The sequence below is a fragment of the Homo sapiens genome, chromosome 15 (assembly GCF_000001405.40).
Source record: "Homo sapiens chromosome 15, GRCh38.p14 Primary Assembly".
NCBI classification, from domain to species: Eukaryota; Metazoa; Chordata; class Mammalia; order Primates; family Hominidae; genus Homo; species Homo sapiens.
In genome coordinates this window covers 69,080,472-69,096,489 of record NC_000015.10, presented here as the reverse complement: position 1 = coordinate 69,096,489, position 16,018 = coordinate 69,080,472, and the positions used below count along the sequence as shown (strand labels likewise).

At 47.9% G+C, this 16,018-nt stretch overlaps 1 long non-coding RNA gene across 1 annotated transcript, besides 3 other annotated features; it reads right to left on the bottom strand.

The window, feature by feature from the left end:
• Nucleotides 1-665: 665 nt before the first annotated feature.
• On the bottom strand, nt 666-15,640 carry EWSAT1 (Ewing sarcoma associated transcript 1). The gene is made up of 4 exons (NR_026949.1): nt 15,114-15,640; nt 5,376-5,575; nt 4,123-4,798; nt 666-1,789 (listed from the first exon to the last, which is right to left on the bottom strand). It is a non-coding gene; the product is annotated as an Ewing sarcoma associated transcript 1 (long non-coding RNA).
• Nucleotides 2,557-3,057: an enhancer, noted in NCBI's record as "H3K4me1 hESC enhancer chr15:69385773-69386273 (GRCh37/hg19 assembly coordinates)". NCBI's record gives its function as "activates a minimal SCP1, AML or CMV promoter by ChIP-STARR-seq in primed H9 embryonic stem cells {active_cell/tissue: H9 hESC(primed)}" and the evidence as "EXISTENCE:reporter gene assay evidence [ECO:0000049][PMID:30033119]".
• Nucleotides 6,298-6,799: an enhancer, noted in NCBI's record as "H3K27ac hESC enhancer chr15:69382031-69382532 (GRCh37/hg19 assembly coordinates)". NCBI's record gives its function as "activates a minimal SCP1, AML or CMV promoter by ChIP-STARR-seq in primed H9 embryonic stem cells {active_cell/tissue: H9 hESC(primed)}" and the evidence as "EXISTENCE:reporter gene assay evidence [ECO:0000049][PMID:30033119]".
• Nucleotides 9,552-10,146: an enhancer, noted in NCBI's record as "OCT4-NANOG-H3K27ac-H3K4me1 hESC enhancer chr15:69378684-69379278 (GRCh37/hg19 assembly coordinates)". NCBI's record gives its function as "activates a minimal SCP1, AML or CMV promoter by ChIP-STARR-seq in naive H9 embryonic stem cells {active_cell/tissue: H9 hESC(naive)}" and the evidence as "EXISTENCE:reporter gene assay evidence [ECO:0000049][PMID:30033119]".
• Nucleotides 15,641-16,018: the final 378 nt, after the last annotated feature.

Sequence of the window (16,018 nt, the reverse complement as noted above, 5' to 3'; positions counted from 1 at the left end):
CATCCCTGGGGGTGTCTGGGAGGGGCTAGGCAGCTGCTGGGTGGCTGGCTGAAATGACTCTGCCTTTTGGAGCAGAAAGGCTCAGCTGTTCCTGTCCCCCCAGGTCCTAACTCAGCTCAGTGCATAGAACTCCAAACGGAGCAGATGTTCAGCTTCTGGAGCCTGGAAGAGGAGTGATCTCTGTATGGCTCTCAGCTTTCAGTCTCAGGGGAGGCTGGGAGGGAGGAAGAACAGTACTCAGCTCAGAGTTCTCAGGTTGGAAACAAGCCTTAAGAAGCCATTCAGCTGATCAATCCGACAATGCACCTTCAATGAGCTGGTTCCAGGAGTCCAGCACTGAACTGGATAGGCAGTGAGGGAGATGGAGAATTAAGAAACATGAGTGGAAAGACTTCACTGGAAATAAAAGTAGAAGTTAAAGACAGTAACTATGGCTGTCATCTGTGGAGCGCCCACCATGTTAGCCGTTCAGCTCAGTTATTTATATACATCTCCATGGTCTGAACCATAGATTCTGCCAGGAGATAGAGAGCCCTTTTTTACCTATGTGGAGGCTGAGATCATAGGAGTTACATATAGGACATGCCCAGGTTCTGTAGCCAGAACAATCACCTAGTGTGATCCTGTCTTACAGACTAATTCATTCATTCACTCATACCCAGAAATTTGTTGAGTATCCGATATGTTTTGAGCTCTTTATTTGATGTGCTTGGAGTTGAGTGGCAGAGGCTCATGAGCACACAGGTGACAATGATACCATTGAGAGCCCAAGAAAGGGCTGTGACAGCCATGGGACAGGTCAGTGGCTGTGCCTGGGTTGTCAGGAGGAAGTGGGGAGGTGTTGGCTTAGCTGGCCATGGAGGATGGAGGAGTGGCAGTTCAGCATAGGGAAGGTGGAAGGAGGGAGGAGGGAATTTCACACAGTGAGCCCAGCAACAGCAAAAGTGTGAGGCTTTGCACAGGGTATCTTCATCCTGGAGGCCCTCAGCCAGAGCACTGAGTCCAGGGGACTCCATGCCAGGGCCTGAGGCCAGACTATGGCTGATGCCAGACAGTCAAGGGCCTTATATGGGATGTCAAGTGATTTCAACTTCATCCTGTAGGAAAGGGTTTTAAGCAGTGGGGAGGTGATGTGGTCAGATTTGCTTGATACCCAGATAACTCCTGCTCTTGCATGTAGGATGGGCTTAAGGGTGGGGTAGAGGCGGAGCAGGAATCCTGTGCAGACTTTGCTATTGCCCAGGGGTCTCGGTGGGAGTTTCAGGGACTAGGGATGTGGTGCAGGTGGAGAAGAGGGACAATAAGTAGAGACATTTCAGAGATGGAGTCAGTAGACTCTCACTGGCAGAAAATTGAGGACAAAATAGTGTTCCTTGCCAGACACTTCTGTGTCTCTGCAGTGTTTGTGGGCATAGACATGTGTCCATCTATGTACACATCACATGTGTGCATGCGTGTGCATGCATGTGGGGCTGTCTGGATGCACACTGGCGATCATGCACGTATTTGTGCATGTGAGAGTCTGTGCTCTCAGGCATCCTGCAATCTGCATGACTGTCTTTATATGTCTGTGCCTACGGCCTGTATGTCTGCTGCTCCCAGTCCAGCTGTGAACCCACCCCGCCAGCCCGCTCCCATTGTGCTCCGGGCTCAGCACAAGATTCTGTGTGCCAGGCACCCTCCAGGGCTTCAGCTGCTTTCCAGGCTCCTGCTGCTAAAGCAAGATGCATCTTCCATCCCTGTTTGATGCTGCAACATGAACCCCAAGGCAGTTCTTCAAAGGGAGCCACTAGGAATGGAAAGAAAGAAAGTAAACATCAGGATTAAAACTGTGAACTAAGCCTGCCCCTGCTCTAGATCTGGCCCATGAACCTGCTCCCACAGGCAGGCTTTGATTTGAGGACTGCATTTCCCCAGGCCAGGATCCCAGGGAGAGCAAGAGGTTCTGGAAACACAGAGATGGGCGGGGCTCAGGGAGGGGCTGGGGGACTGCCCTCTCCCACTCAGCAGCTTGCCATAGTTTCATGAGTCCCTCTTCAAATGTGAAACAGCTTCCAATGGGCCTGAGGACTCTGATAGTCCTCAGGGCCATGGATGGAAAGCCCTACCTCCTTTCCTTCCTTCTTTCCTTCCTTCCTTTCTTCCTTCTTTCCTTCCTTCTTTCCCTCCCTCCCTCCCTTCCTTTCTCTCTTCTTCTCTCGCTCCTTCTTCCTTCCTTTTTCCCTCTCTTTCCTTCCCCACCCCTCCCTTCCCTTTTCTCCCCTCCTTCCCCGACCACCATTTCCAGAGGATACCAGGACTTCAAACTGACTCCCACGTGTGTGCTAACTCTGATAGTTAGTGGCTGTGTGATTGTGGGCAATCATGCCTGCTTTATAAGGTAGCTACTCTGACCTCACAGGGTTGGTTGGTTGTTGGGATTTAGTAAATTCAGGCATGGATGTGCACAGCAAATGCCAGCCTGGCTGGAAAAGCTCAGTACATGGCAGCCATCAGAATTGTTGTCACTGTTGTGCAGTGTCAGTGATCAGGAGTGACAAGGCATCTCTTGATCTCAGTCTACTTCTACCAGCAGGTAAACAAAGAGTGTGATGAGAGTTTTATAAAAGGCAGGGTGCTAGGGTGCTTGGAGGGGACTCAGAAGAGCAAGGGCCCAGCCTTCCTGGTAGAAGGGGCAAGATCTGGGAGAGCTTCCTGGAGGAGGTGACTCTCAAGTCTTACAGGATAGCTGGATTTCACCAAATGAGTCCAGGCCAAGGAGAGGCTTTGGCTGAGGTGTGAGAGGCAAACTGCAAAGACCTCTGGTGTGTCCAGGCATTGGATCCTGTGTGGGAAGCCTGTCTGCAGGCTATGATGCAAAGCAGGTCCTATGAGTGCTGGGCACCGCTGGACGAGTTTAACCAGACTAGGAATGCTGGGACTGAGGGATCTGAAAAAAAATCTTTACAGGCCACCAAATCTTCTAAACTCAGGTGGCAGGCTTCCTGTGGTGGTCGCCCAGATCCACTTCAAGGAGGGACATGCTGGGAGAGCTATAGTCAGGCCAGCCCCTTTCAGACGGCCTCAGCTGCAGAGCGCAGCCAGGCCTGAGATCCCTCCTCTTCCTGGGCAGTGCACATTCAGTGACTGACCAATGCTGGGGTATAAAGGTGTGGCCATCACAGCCCAAGTCATGATGACTCTGAGGAACTCATCTAGCTGCAGGACTCCTACAAGGGATTGAGGGATTGGAGAGGCTGTGGCTGGCCTGCACTGAAACCCCACCTCTCCCTCTGCCCCACCTGCTTCCTTCCCTTCCATTCCCTCCCAGAGACTGTCTCTAAATTCCAGTAAACACAGTCGCAGAGTCCCCTACTCACCCCTTTGGGCTGAGCATTGTCTTTCCATACTGCTTTCCCCCTACTGTCCTCTTTTTATTTTTAATTTAATTTCTTTTAAAGACAGGGTCTCCATCTGTCGCCCAGGCTGGAGGCAGCAGTGCGATCACAGCTCACTGCACCCTCTACCTGGGCTCCAGCGATCCTCTCACCTCAGCCTCTGACTAGCTGGGACTAGAGGTGCACACTACTGTACACAGGTAATTTTCTTTAAAAAAATATTTTTATGTTGCCCAGACTAGTCTCAAACTCCTGGGCTCAAGTGATCCTCCTGCCTCAGCCTCCCAAAGTGTTAGGATTACAGGTGTGAGCCACAATGCCCAGCTCTACTTGCCTCCTTTTCAAGTAAACTTCTTTTTTGTTGAAGTATAACATGCATACAGAAAGATGCAAAACTTAACCAATTATGTACAACATAAATCTCTGCAAAGTGAACATAGCCTATAACTGTCACCAGATCAGGAAACAGAATTTTACCAGCACTCCCAGAGTCCCTTTTTGCCCCACTCCTTCTCAAAGGCAACCCCTGTCCTGACTTCTTAACACCACAGACTTAAGGCTTACATGTTTTCAAACTTGAAATTAATGGCGTCAGAGCGTGCTGTCTTACGTATCTGGCTTCTTTCACTCAACATCACCTTCGTGAGATTTGTTCATGTTGTTGCAGGTGACAGTGCTCTATTCATTCTCATTGCTATACACATTTTCATTGTCTAAATTACCCCCACTTTATTTATCTACTCACCACTGATGGGCATTTGGGTGGTTTCCAGTTTATGACTAATACAAACGGCTCTACTATGAACATTCTTGTATCTTGTGTAATTGACTTTTGGTGCCTTTATAAACAAACTTCTGTTAGATATATACCTGGGCTCAGGATTTCCGGAGTAGGCATGAATATATTCAGCTTTAGTGATGCTTCTAAACTGTTCTTCCAAAGGGGCGGTATTAATTTACCCCTTCCGCAGTGCATAGGAGAGTTCCAGTTGTTCTGCATCCCCACCAGCCCTTGATATTGTCAGTCTTTGCACTTTCAGCCATCCTGGTGTAGTTCTAATTTGAATTCCCTGTTGGCTAATGAGATTGAACATATTTTCATATGCTTCTTGGCCATTTGGAGGTGCTCCTTTGTGATGTGGCTCTTCTGAGGTTTTTGCCTATGTATCTAATGAGGTTTTTGCCTTGTTGATTTGGAGGAGTTCTTTATACATGCAAGTGCTTTGTCAGATTCCCATGCTCCCTTTTTGAGATTCAAATATCCCCAGGGTAGGGTGAGGCCTGGCATCACCAATACTTGGGTGGTTCCAAATTACTTTCTCCCTTCTCTGGGCCTGGGAAGCCCTTCCAGAATGGAGGCCTCCTTACTGAGGCTGCATTTCCCTTCCTCTTACCAGTTTTATTCTTTCGGCTGGGAGAAGCTGAAATACAAAAGGGTACACACTAAAAAAAAATCAGGAGCAAAGATCTGGAGTTTTCACAGAGGAGAAAGGAGGCCATGGGAAGAGTTTGACCTCTCCCCTCCACCTGGGCAATCACAAGTGTGAGTATCTCAGTCTGGGCTGTAAGTGAGGAGGTAACTGCAGACAATGCTCTGAGGAGCTCTCAGGCTCAGGATACCTGGCAGGGGACTGGAGGAGGTTGGAAACTCCTCTCTGCTTCCAGAGGGACAGTGCAGAGGAGGTGCCCCAGCCCAGGGGGGATTGGAGGAGGAGATGAGAAGAAAGAAACAGGGGGGTCAGAACGTTTTATGGAAAGATGTGAACCCCTCAGTGGACAGGACTGTCTTCATCTCCAGGTCCCTGGTCCTTAGCATGGTACGTGCCCATGAATGTGCCTACCAGAAAGTAAGGGACACGTGGAACTTTCTGAAGGTAAGCCCTGTGGAAGGAGGGCCTGTGGCTGCTCATCGGTATGGGTTGAATGAATGAAGTTCAAATTATGATGTAAATAATAATAGCTCCATTTCTTGAGCAGCAACTAGGCAAGTGTACTTACTAGCATCACATTTAATCCAACAAGCACTAAATGGAAATTCATATCCAGTTCCATCTGATTCCAGAGCTCACAGGCTTTTTCCCTAAGCTGCACACCTTCTCATGACAGGAACCACAAAGAGTTTACCAAGGTGTTCTCTAGGCAGGAAGTCCACTCTTCTCCCTTCCAGGTGAGGAATCGCAGGCCCAAGAAGAGGGGCTCTGAGAAAAGGAGGCGGAGAAAGGTGAAATTACAGATGCTCCTCTTATCCTGCCCATCACCTCCTTCAAACTGTTTCACTTCCCTTCCTCCCCTCCCTCCCTCCCTCTCTCCTTCCCTTCCCCTCACTTCCCCTCCCCTTCTCTCCCTTCCCTTCCTTTCCCTTCCCTTCCCTTCTTCCTTCCTTCCTTTCTTCCCTCCCTCGCTCCCTCCTCCACAAACATTTCTTGAGCACCTACTGTGTGCTGGACTCTGTACTAAGGCCACAGTGACCAGAACAGACACAAAACCCTGTCTTTATACAGTTTACACTCAGTGGTGAATGCAGAAGACAGTCATTAATCAAATGAAGATGTCATTACACATGGGATGGGGAAACCTGGAGGCAATTGCATGCAGTTTGCTCTTCCAGCTGCAGACACTCCCCTCCCCAGTGTGGGAGAGAGCCCAGCCTCTGTGAGTTCTGTTCTCAGAGGATTTTGTGTTGCTGGGTGAGCCACATCATCCAGCCAAGCCGCTGGCTGCACAGGCTGCTGTTGCCAAGCACCCCAGAACACACCTCCTCCCCTTCCTGGCTTTTGTTTTGTAAAAACACGTTTTCAGGGGAATTATGCTGAATTGTCTGAGAGAGGGAGGGCTTGGAGCAGGTGAGAGGGAAGTAGCTGAAGAAGGGATTTGGGGAGCTTCTCCTCACCAGAAAAAGGGGCAGACAGGCAATAGGGATGGGCGGCGGTGGGGAGACCTTAGAGGGAAGTGGGCAGTGAGGACCCTAGGGTGGTCACGCCTACTTGGCACACAAGGTTCCCAACCTCAACAAAGGTGCAAATAATCCCCCCTATAAACACACACACACACACACACACACACAAACACACACACACTCTCAGGTAAGCCTGGCAGGGACATGGCAGAGCCTCCAGTCTTCAGGGACTAGGAAATCCTGGACAACAGCCATTATCTATGGTGTCCAGGGCAGCTCGCAGTCCAGAGGACCTAGCCTGAGCTATGTGGGTTCCTTAAGCCCTCAGACCCTTGCTTGCGTGGGGAGGAGCCCCAATGTCAACCAAGATGGAGCTGCCCAGTCTTGCAACGCAGCCCCAGTTCATCACCTAGTTTTCCTCCCTTCATCTTCAAACCCCTTCCTGGCCTCTAGACTATCATATTTCCTCTGACCTTTTTCATTTGATCCTTCATTCCCTAACTCCGGTGGGAGACCTCAACCCAGAACTCCTATGTGCTTCTCTAGCATATTCCCCCAAATCTGAGTTGTTTAGCCGAGTGACACTGTGGCAGGGTGGAGGGGTTAATACCAGCGCTACCTCATTAGGAAGTTGTGAGGATTAAACAAGATAATCCACCTGCAGCCTCCAGTGGAGCACCTGAAACACAGGATGTGCCCCGTCAGTGTGAGCTATTGTTGTGAATTACCTTTCCAAGCAGAGGGGAGATAGGAACGCAGGCCCAGAGACCTGGGGGGGCATGGCACAATCGCACAGCTGGAGTTCACACAGCAGTGCTGTCTGAGGATCATAGGAGGGTTGCTGATGCAGGAAGGCCACCCAGGATCTAGAACATGTGTGTGATTATATATGCCATCCTAAGGGGTCTGTGATCTCTTCCTGCAGGCCATGGGAAGTATAAGTGGTTTTTTTTTAATTTTTATTTTTTTTTTAGTTTTTGGAGACAGGGTCTCACTCTGTTGCCTGGGCTGGAGTACAGTGGCTCAATCACAGCTTACTGCAGCCTCCATTTCCTGAGCTCAGGTGATCCTCCCACCTCAGCCTCCCAAGTAGCTGGGACTACAGGTGTGCACCACTATGCCTGGCTCAGTTTTGTAAGTATGAGTGTTTTTTAAGCAGAGATGTGCATTTTAGAGAGCCCACTTGGCCATGGTATGGAAGATGGATCTGAATAGGGAGAGACACACCATTACATACCATTGACCCTGGTGTATAAAGACAGCCCTTCAGCATCTGGGCAGGCAACATAAGGAGAAGGGGAGGATAACCTATTTTCCAACTACATCTCATTTTTAGTGAGTAAGCAACTTTGGAATCATGTTAATTGTATTGCCAGAGAAGTGATACCGCAGGAGAAGAAAAACACTGTAAAGAGATTGCAAAATCGAAAACCTGTTGTGGCTCTGCAGGTGACAGTGATTCAGGGACACAGATGTGTCAAAGTTTCTTAAATCCTGACACCTCCCCTCCCACCCCATTCTGCCCACTGACCCCAGGAGGTCTCTTCTTCAGGTTGTGCATTTATTAGGACTCTGTATTGCGAGTAGCAAAACAAACAAAACCTCAGCTGAGACCGTTTAAACGGGAAAGGGAAGTTATTGACTTGCATAACTGAAAAGCCCAGAGGGAGGTTTGGCTCAGGTGAAGCTTGATCTTGTGGCTCAAACAATGTTATCTACGACCTGATTTCTCTCCGTCCTGCCGTCTACAATACCGGCCTCACCTGCAGGCTTCACTTAGCGGACCCCCAGTAACTCCAAGCTTTCCCTCACAATTGTAAATGGCTGTGTTGGTGCCTGACTTCACATCTCTACCTTACTCTCTCCCACCTGAGGGGGAGTCTCTCCTTCCCACAATAGCCTGCCTTTCCTCCCCTCACTCACATCCATGCCTCCTCGCTGCACATTGGCTCTGAGGGGTCATACAGCCATCCCAAAACCAATGAAGGGGGCGTGGGGCTGGGATCCACAACTGGCTAAGGATCCACCATCCTCATCCACACGGAAGGCAAGGGAGGAAGGCTGCTTTCCCAGAGGAAATTGCCCTGAGAACATGGGATCTGGATAAGGGTGAATCCGATGCCACACTGTGTGTGCATTCTCCTTACTCTCTAGGATTCGTCCTCTAGATTTGGAGGCTCCTCTGTCCCCATCCTTTGAGGATAGGGCCTTCACAGTGCTGTCCTGGTCTCCCTCCTGAGCCATCATCTCACCCTCTTCTGCCCTCCTTGACCACTCATGCATTGCTGACTCCTGAACTCATGTCTCCAGTTCCGATATTTCTCTTGTACCATGAAACCATATATCCACTGCCTGCAGGACTTTCCATTCTGACCTCCCACAGGGGCCTGACACCCAACATGTCTAAAGCCTGATTCATTCTCACTCCTCCCAATGACCCTGCTCCAAAATTCCTTCCCCTTCTATATTGTCACTGTTGCCCCTGAGCTGGAAATCTGATCACCCTTGATCCCTTCCTCTCTCACTCCCTCAAATTTAATCAAGCCCCAGGCCATAAATCCCTGGAATCCATCTACTTCTTTCTCTTCCTTCCCCCAGCCTCTGTTAGGTGCTCCGTGAAGTTCTGCTTGACTGATGCTTTCTATTTTAGCCAAAGCCCCCTCCCCTGTGCTGCGGAGCCTCTTAACTGCTCCCCTGGCCACCAGAGTGGCCTGGCCCTGAGGGCAGGGTCGATATCCTCATCACTGCCACACTGACAAGAGCTCAGGACAGCGCCTGGTGCTTAAAGACTCCCACAGAAATGTGCAGATGAACAAATCAACCTGTGAATGAGAGGGGAAAGGGCAAGAAGATTCTTCTTGGGAAAAAGTCAGTATCTCCAAAGGCCTAGGGAAGCAGGAGCTTCCTCAGACAACTGGCGCTGGCCTGGCAGAGACTGGTCCTTCCTCATTCAAAGCTCATCGGGCAGAGGGCTGCCCAGCTCCGGCCAGGGGTGCAGGACAGCTCCTGACAGGCACTGTCCATCAGAGGAAAGGATTCTTAAAGAGCCTTTGAATCTCCACATTTTGGGATTCCAAATGTTCAGCTTTTCCCTTAAGCTCAGTGCATTTGACCCCAGTTACCACCTGGAGCAACTAAAAGTCCAACTGCTCTCAGAAAACCAGCACGTCGCAACCGGTGCTTCGGGAACAAAGCGTGCTTGTTCTTCCCCCACCCTGGTCATGGGAGGTAGGCACGTGGGTTAACGACACCTAAGACTTCAGCTACTGCAGTGACATTAAAATGTCCGTCGGGGAGAAGGAAAAATGTGCCTGTTTGGCTTTAAAGGGCTCACAAACTTTAATATTCTTCTGTGACTCGGTAGAGAGGGCAAACCGGTGGCAAACACACATATGTGGGAATAGACCTGTGGCTGTGTGTTTTTGCTCTTCTGTATCAGGCTTCTGGGTTTTTATAGACAAAGACTTGCTCTTACCTCTCTTCTGCTGAACAAGGGCCTCCTTCAGTCCTCGACAGGCTTAGAAATAAACATAAGAAAGGAGGAGAAGACTTGGTTTTGTCATGTTCTGGCTTGGGCCCGTGGCCATGCTGGGCATCCCACAGCATGATCTTATTTAAGCCTCATAGTAACCCTGAGAACAAACACCCTCACCACTCCCATTTTGCCAGATGCAGACAAAAGCCTAGAAAAGTCCCTACTTACCCAACGTTGAATGGTTAGTGAGTGACAAACCCCTTTTCCCCTCCTGATGCAGATCTGTTCTCCCCAAAGCCCTAGAGGTACCAGGCTGGTGACACAATCATCTTTAGCTCCGAGGGCCTTGGTAACCATCCTGAGAGAAACCAGGACTATAGAGGGCTGGGGATTTGTCATACTTCTTTTGACACTGGCCCCCCGTTAAAGCTTGAATAGTAACCTCACAGGACAGCCCAGTCTTCCTGTTTGCAAGAATTTTAGTGCATATAGTATATGCCATGGTAGACTCTGGAAGATTTCTCCCTGTGTGACCCACCTTATATAATGCTAATTGGATTTTTTTTTTTTTTAAAGACAAAGAGGCACCAAGAAAAACACAAAAAAAAATGAGTCAAAATCTCCCTGGTCAGATAGCTTTTGTTGACATTAACAAACCCAAGTATAAGGTTAAAAAATTCAAACATCAGGAAAGTTTTAAAAATTAAATACCATTCCCCTCTATTCCTCTCCCAAAGGCAATCTTTGCTAATATTTTCTTGTGATTCTTTCCAGCAAAAACGAGCGTGTAAAATCCTATAGATATGACTCTATTTTGTTTTTGACATGAATGGAGAGAGTACCCCCTGGGTATTCTGCAGCTCACTCCTTTCACTCTAACATGTGTGAGAGAAGCTTCCCATTTTAGCACAAAGCAATCCACTGTTCTTTTCCTGAACTCTACGTGTTCATATTCTTTGCTCATTTAAAAATTTGGCATTTGGTTGTTTTCTTATCAAACTTTTTGTAAATTAATAAGTTTGTGGTCAAGTTTATATGTTAGAAATACGTTTTCTCTGTTTTTCACTGCTGTAACTTCTAATAAATATTAGCATTTCTCCTTTTTAGCCACACAAGGATCACAGAGAGGAGAAGAGAAGACTGTATGAGCTACCTACTGCTACTGTGACAAATTACCACAAACTTAGTGGCTTTAAACAACTCATTTATTGTCTTACAGTTCAGGAGGTCAGAGCTCTAAAGTGGGTGGGCAGGGCTGCATTCCCCTGGTGGCTCTGGGGAGCCTTTTCCAGCTTATACAGACCACCTTGGTTTGTGGTCACCTCCTCCGTCTTCAAAAGCAGCAGCAAAGTGGCCTTTTCTTCCCTGTGTGACCTCTGTTTACACCCTCATGTCTTCTCTGAGCCTCCTAGCTCCCTCTTATAAGGACCCTTGTGATTACACTGGGCCCACCCAGATAATCCAGGGCAACCTCCCCATCTCAACACCTTTAATTTAATCACAATAGCAAAGACACTTTTGGCATGTAAGTTATCATATTCATAAATTCCAGGGATTAGGACATGGACATATTTGGGGATCATTTTTCAGGGAAGAAGGGGAGAAGGGTATGTTGGGGGAAGGGTTGGTAGTATTGCTGCAAATTGTAGCTGTCCCCTCACCTCTGAAAGTCTGGAACCTTCTACACTTGGTGTGATTTAAGCCTCCTAAAAAGTGACATCCCTGCTCTTCAAGGTTATCACATCACAAGGTTTGTTTCTTATCCTCTCCCTGCCCCCAACACATATATCTGGCATGAGGGCAATTTATGAAAATCAAGTACCTGTGCCAGAAAATTAACTCTCGCAGCTGGGTGGTACCTCCTCACCAGGCTATAGGCTCCTGGAAGCCAGAGACCACATCTCAAGCTTTGTTGTTGTTTTATCTTACACAATCTGCCTGGCACAGCACTTCATATGTGATTAGAGAGGGAAAGAGGAAGGAAGGAAGGAAGGAAGGAAGGAAGGAAAGAAGGAAGGAAGGAAGGAAGGAAGGAGAAAGGAAGGAAGGAAGGAGGGAGGGAAGGAAGGAACGGGAAAGAAGGAAGGAAGGGGAAAGAAGGAAGGAAGGAAGGAAGGAAGGAAAAAAGAAGACAAGGAGTCAGTGCTTCTCTGCAGGCCCCAGCTCTCCTTGCACATTCCTGTAGAAATGCTCTCCTGTTCTTCCTCTTCCCTGAGGTCCTCTTCCCCAAGGTCTCCCCCTCCCTGGGACTCAGCTTGACTTCTCTTTCCTTGGATGACTGGGCTTTCCAAGAGGACACTGGCTATAGGCAGGTGGTTGAGCAAAGACTTTGTGGGAAGATCATGCCCTATTTTCCATCCAGCCATTAGTGCCCTATTTTCTATTTAGCAGAACACTGAAAGCAGGAAAGAAGTAAGAATAATTAGCACGAAGTCAAACCTCTTTTGGCATTCTGCTGGGAGTGGAAGGGCAAGGAAGGCAAGGAGCAGTTCTGACATGGTGGGGGGAGAGGGTTCAGATATTGGTCTTATTCAGATACATCCGGAAGGCAGGAGGATGGGCTAGATGACCTCTCAAGGTCCCGTCCAGTCTGAGATGTTCACTGCCACTGTGTCCTCACCCCTGTGAATCTGCCTCTGGCCTCTTACTCCGAAACCTCCAGCCTTATGTCCTCCCTGAGTTGGCCAGGGAACCTTTTCCCCTCCTGATTATAAAAATAGCTCATACTTCCTATTACTGAAAGTTTGACAATTTAAAGAAGCAAGAAAATATGATATCCACAATTCAGCTACCCAGAGGGAAGCATGCTTAATATTTTAGACTATTTTTCTCCTAGTCTTTATTCTATGCATATATATTTGCAACTCCTGCAGTAGGCTTCTTTCTGCAGTTTTCTAGGGAGGGTGCGTTAGGAGATCAGCCTCCCTACCTCCAGGTAGCTTGTCCCTTAATGGATGGCTGCTTCCCATACCCAGTGGCTGCCAATGACGGAGCTGCTTTGGCTCACCCCAACCAAGGAGGCAGCCGGAAAGCCTTCCTCTGCAGTAACTCAGACCTTAAGGGAGGTTTCACTTTGTCATTGAATGAAAACAAGAGAGTGGGCCAGGTGTGGTAGCTCATACCTGTAATCTCAGCACTTTGGGAGGCCAAGGTGGGCAGATCACTTGAGGCCAGGAGTTTGAGACCAGCCTGGTCAATATGGTGAAACCCTGTTTCTACTAAAAATACAAAAATTAGCTGGGTGTGGTGGTGGGTGCCTGTAATCCCAGCTACTTGAGAGTCTGAGGCAGGAGAATCGCTTGAACCCAGGAGGCGGAGGTTGCAGTGAGTCGAGATTGTGCCACTGCACTCTAGCCTGGGCAACAAAGTGAGACTCCGTCAAAAAAAAAAAAAGAACAAGAAGAAGAAGAAAGAAAAGAAAGGAAAGGAAAGAAAGAGAAAAAGAAAAGGAGACTGTCTTCAGGCCTCACAGAATTGGAGTCCTATTGGGGGAAATGGGAGGGTGGAGGCAGGTATCTCATGAAGTCCCACGGACCCACACAAGGTCTCCTGCATGGATCTCTTCCCCATCTCCCCTCTTCCTGTTGCCTCTCTAGCTTTTCACCTCTTTCTCCTCAGTAGCTACTGCTTCAGGAGAGAAGAGGTGAGATCTCTGAGAAGAAAGGTGTGGGGAGAAGGGGCTCCCTGAGGTGCAAGGCAGGAGGTGGGGAAAGGAGGACTTCTGCTTAAACTGTAGCTGCTTCACTCAATGAAGCACTCGTCTAAAATAAAACATATCTCATCCTCTAAAAACTAATCTTTTCCAGGAAAGAAAATACAACTACAGAAATAATATTTGGCCCACATAAGAAATTGATATTCCTCCTATTACTCTACTCATAACTCTATTTCCTGTGAGCAAACACTCTGACCTTATTAGCCCAAGAGAACATTTACATCCTCTCTGTCCAAGGTCAGATGACAAGATATCCTTTATTAACTTGACAAAACAGCATATTGTACTCAAGTTACCGACTCTTGTAATCACTCAGAAAGGAAATAGTGGTGGGTGTGGAATCCTGGGGAAGGCAGGGTAAGAAGTCTCTTTTCACTTGATCACATATTTTTAACGTACACGAAATTACAGTTTTTGTGTTTGTTTTTCACAATATCATAAGCACTGCCCCCCAAGTTTTTTTAAAACTCCCTAAAGACTCTATCTTATCTGAGCACGCTTGCAAATGAATTCATACTATTACATTGTAGAGCACAGCCGTGGTTCTGTGATTTTAGGAACAGAGGTCCTTACAGACCAGAAGACCTCATATTATTCTTGCTAAAATAAATCCTTAAGATTTCCCAATAGCTAGCTTAGTAATTGCTGGTAACTTTCCAAAGACATCACTGATAAGGAGCAGCTTCTGTTAGATGATTGGAAATATTGCCCTGGTTTTCAAAACTGTGTGTAGAAGGCACTGAGGCCAGGTTTGGCAGTAACCACATAAGCGGAGTCAAGAAACATATCCTAGGAGGAGACACAGTATCTGGGTCATTGTTTCCACAGCTGTCAGTCTATCCCAGGGAACAGAACTGAAGACATTTCATCCTGGACACAGGCAGGCAGCTGTGTTACTGCACAAGAGTGGACAGACGTGGAGCCAGCACATTCCTAACTTTGAATTCTGATCATCTCTGAGATTGTGTAGCCCTCAGTTCTCAACCCTGGTTGTACATTAAGGGGGGGAAAAAGCCAGTACTCAGGACTTATTACAGACTGATTAAAGAAAAGAATCTGAGTCTCCCCCCTCTGGAGAATCTGAGAGAGAAAGCTCTCTGTTCAATTTTCGTAGTTTGGATGACCTGGAAAGCCTCTATGGAGGCAGAGAGTGGGTTCTATGACCTCTGTTAGGTCCCCTTTCCCTCCCTGTGTTCCTTAGCCAGGACTTGGCAGGAAACCCTGGGATATCAACAGTTCCACAGAGCATTTTGCGCCCAGTTTTCTTGTTTTTATCTTGAGATCTCATCATCAGGGAGACTTGGAGAATAGGCCGGTAATTTTGAAACCACAACTTGGCTTCTGACTGCCTCAGGCCTTCTTGAAAGTTTCCACCAGCCAAGAGTTTCATCCAGATATCTGCAAGGGACCTTCAAGGGAACGGCTGGGAAGCTCATTGTCCCATTAGGACTCCCTATGACCTTCCCAGAGGGCCCAGCCACACAGATGCAGCCTGGAATGTGGCAGGAAGCTGCAGAACAGGCAGGAAGCCCAGCTCCACGTTACATCGCAAGCAGCCTCCAGCAGCCAGCCCTGAAATATCCCGTTTCTTCCTGATCCACCCCCACTCCCAAACACACATCTAACCAGCCAGTAAGATTCAGCAGTTACCTCTGAAACGCGTCTTGGATCTTCTGTCCTAACACCAACTCCCCAGCGCAGGAGCAATCTCCTAACTGGACTTCCAACCTCCAGTCTCTCCACCTCCAGCCCATTCTCCATGCCATGGCCAACATGATCTTACTAATCTAAGATCTTCTGGTTTGAAGATGGCATAAAGTTAGTAACCCTCCCTTCATTTTCTGGAAGTAATCCAAAAGCAAAAAGGACTTGAGCGATAAAAACACAAATTCCATTTTTAGTAAAAGTAGGAGACACCTAAACCACAAAATAGACGGAAGAGTTGCCAAAAGCAATAGAGCTTCAGCAGAGATGTTGCAGGAAGAAATAGAGCAAGGATGCTGTGCTGCAAAGTCTCTGGGACAGCCTGAAAAAGAATCCTCCAGAAGAGGAGGGGCACACCTGGATGCGGAATGCACAGAGCCCTTGTGTGCAGCAGCAGAAAACGGGTGCAGGTGCTGTGGCCTGAGCTCTGCTGGCTCAGGACTCAGACAAGCCATAGTTGTAGGAAATGGTCTGTTTCTGTGGCAACAGGGGAGGAGAGACTTTGCCTCGGGGAATCTTTGCCATTGGTTGGAAAGAATTCAAGGCTCAGTGAATTTACATCAACCCTGGGTCATAAGGAAAATTTAGCCAACCTGGAAGACAATCTTGGCCTCTCTCACACCTGAGGTCCACGGGGAAGAAAAAACATTACCTTCTTCAATAATGAGTAATATATACAAAGTTTTGACAAGAAACAAAGGAGGAAAAAAGAAAAAGCAAACAGCAAACAGCAGGTAAAGAAGATTCATCAAAAAACATTGTCATGGAGCAGATGACAATTTTAACGAGAAAATTAAGAAAACATAGCAAAGTAATTTCCCCCACAAAGAAAACACGCACATGAGAGATGA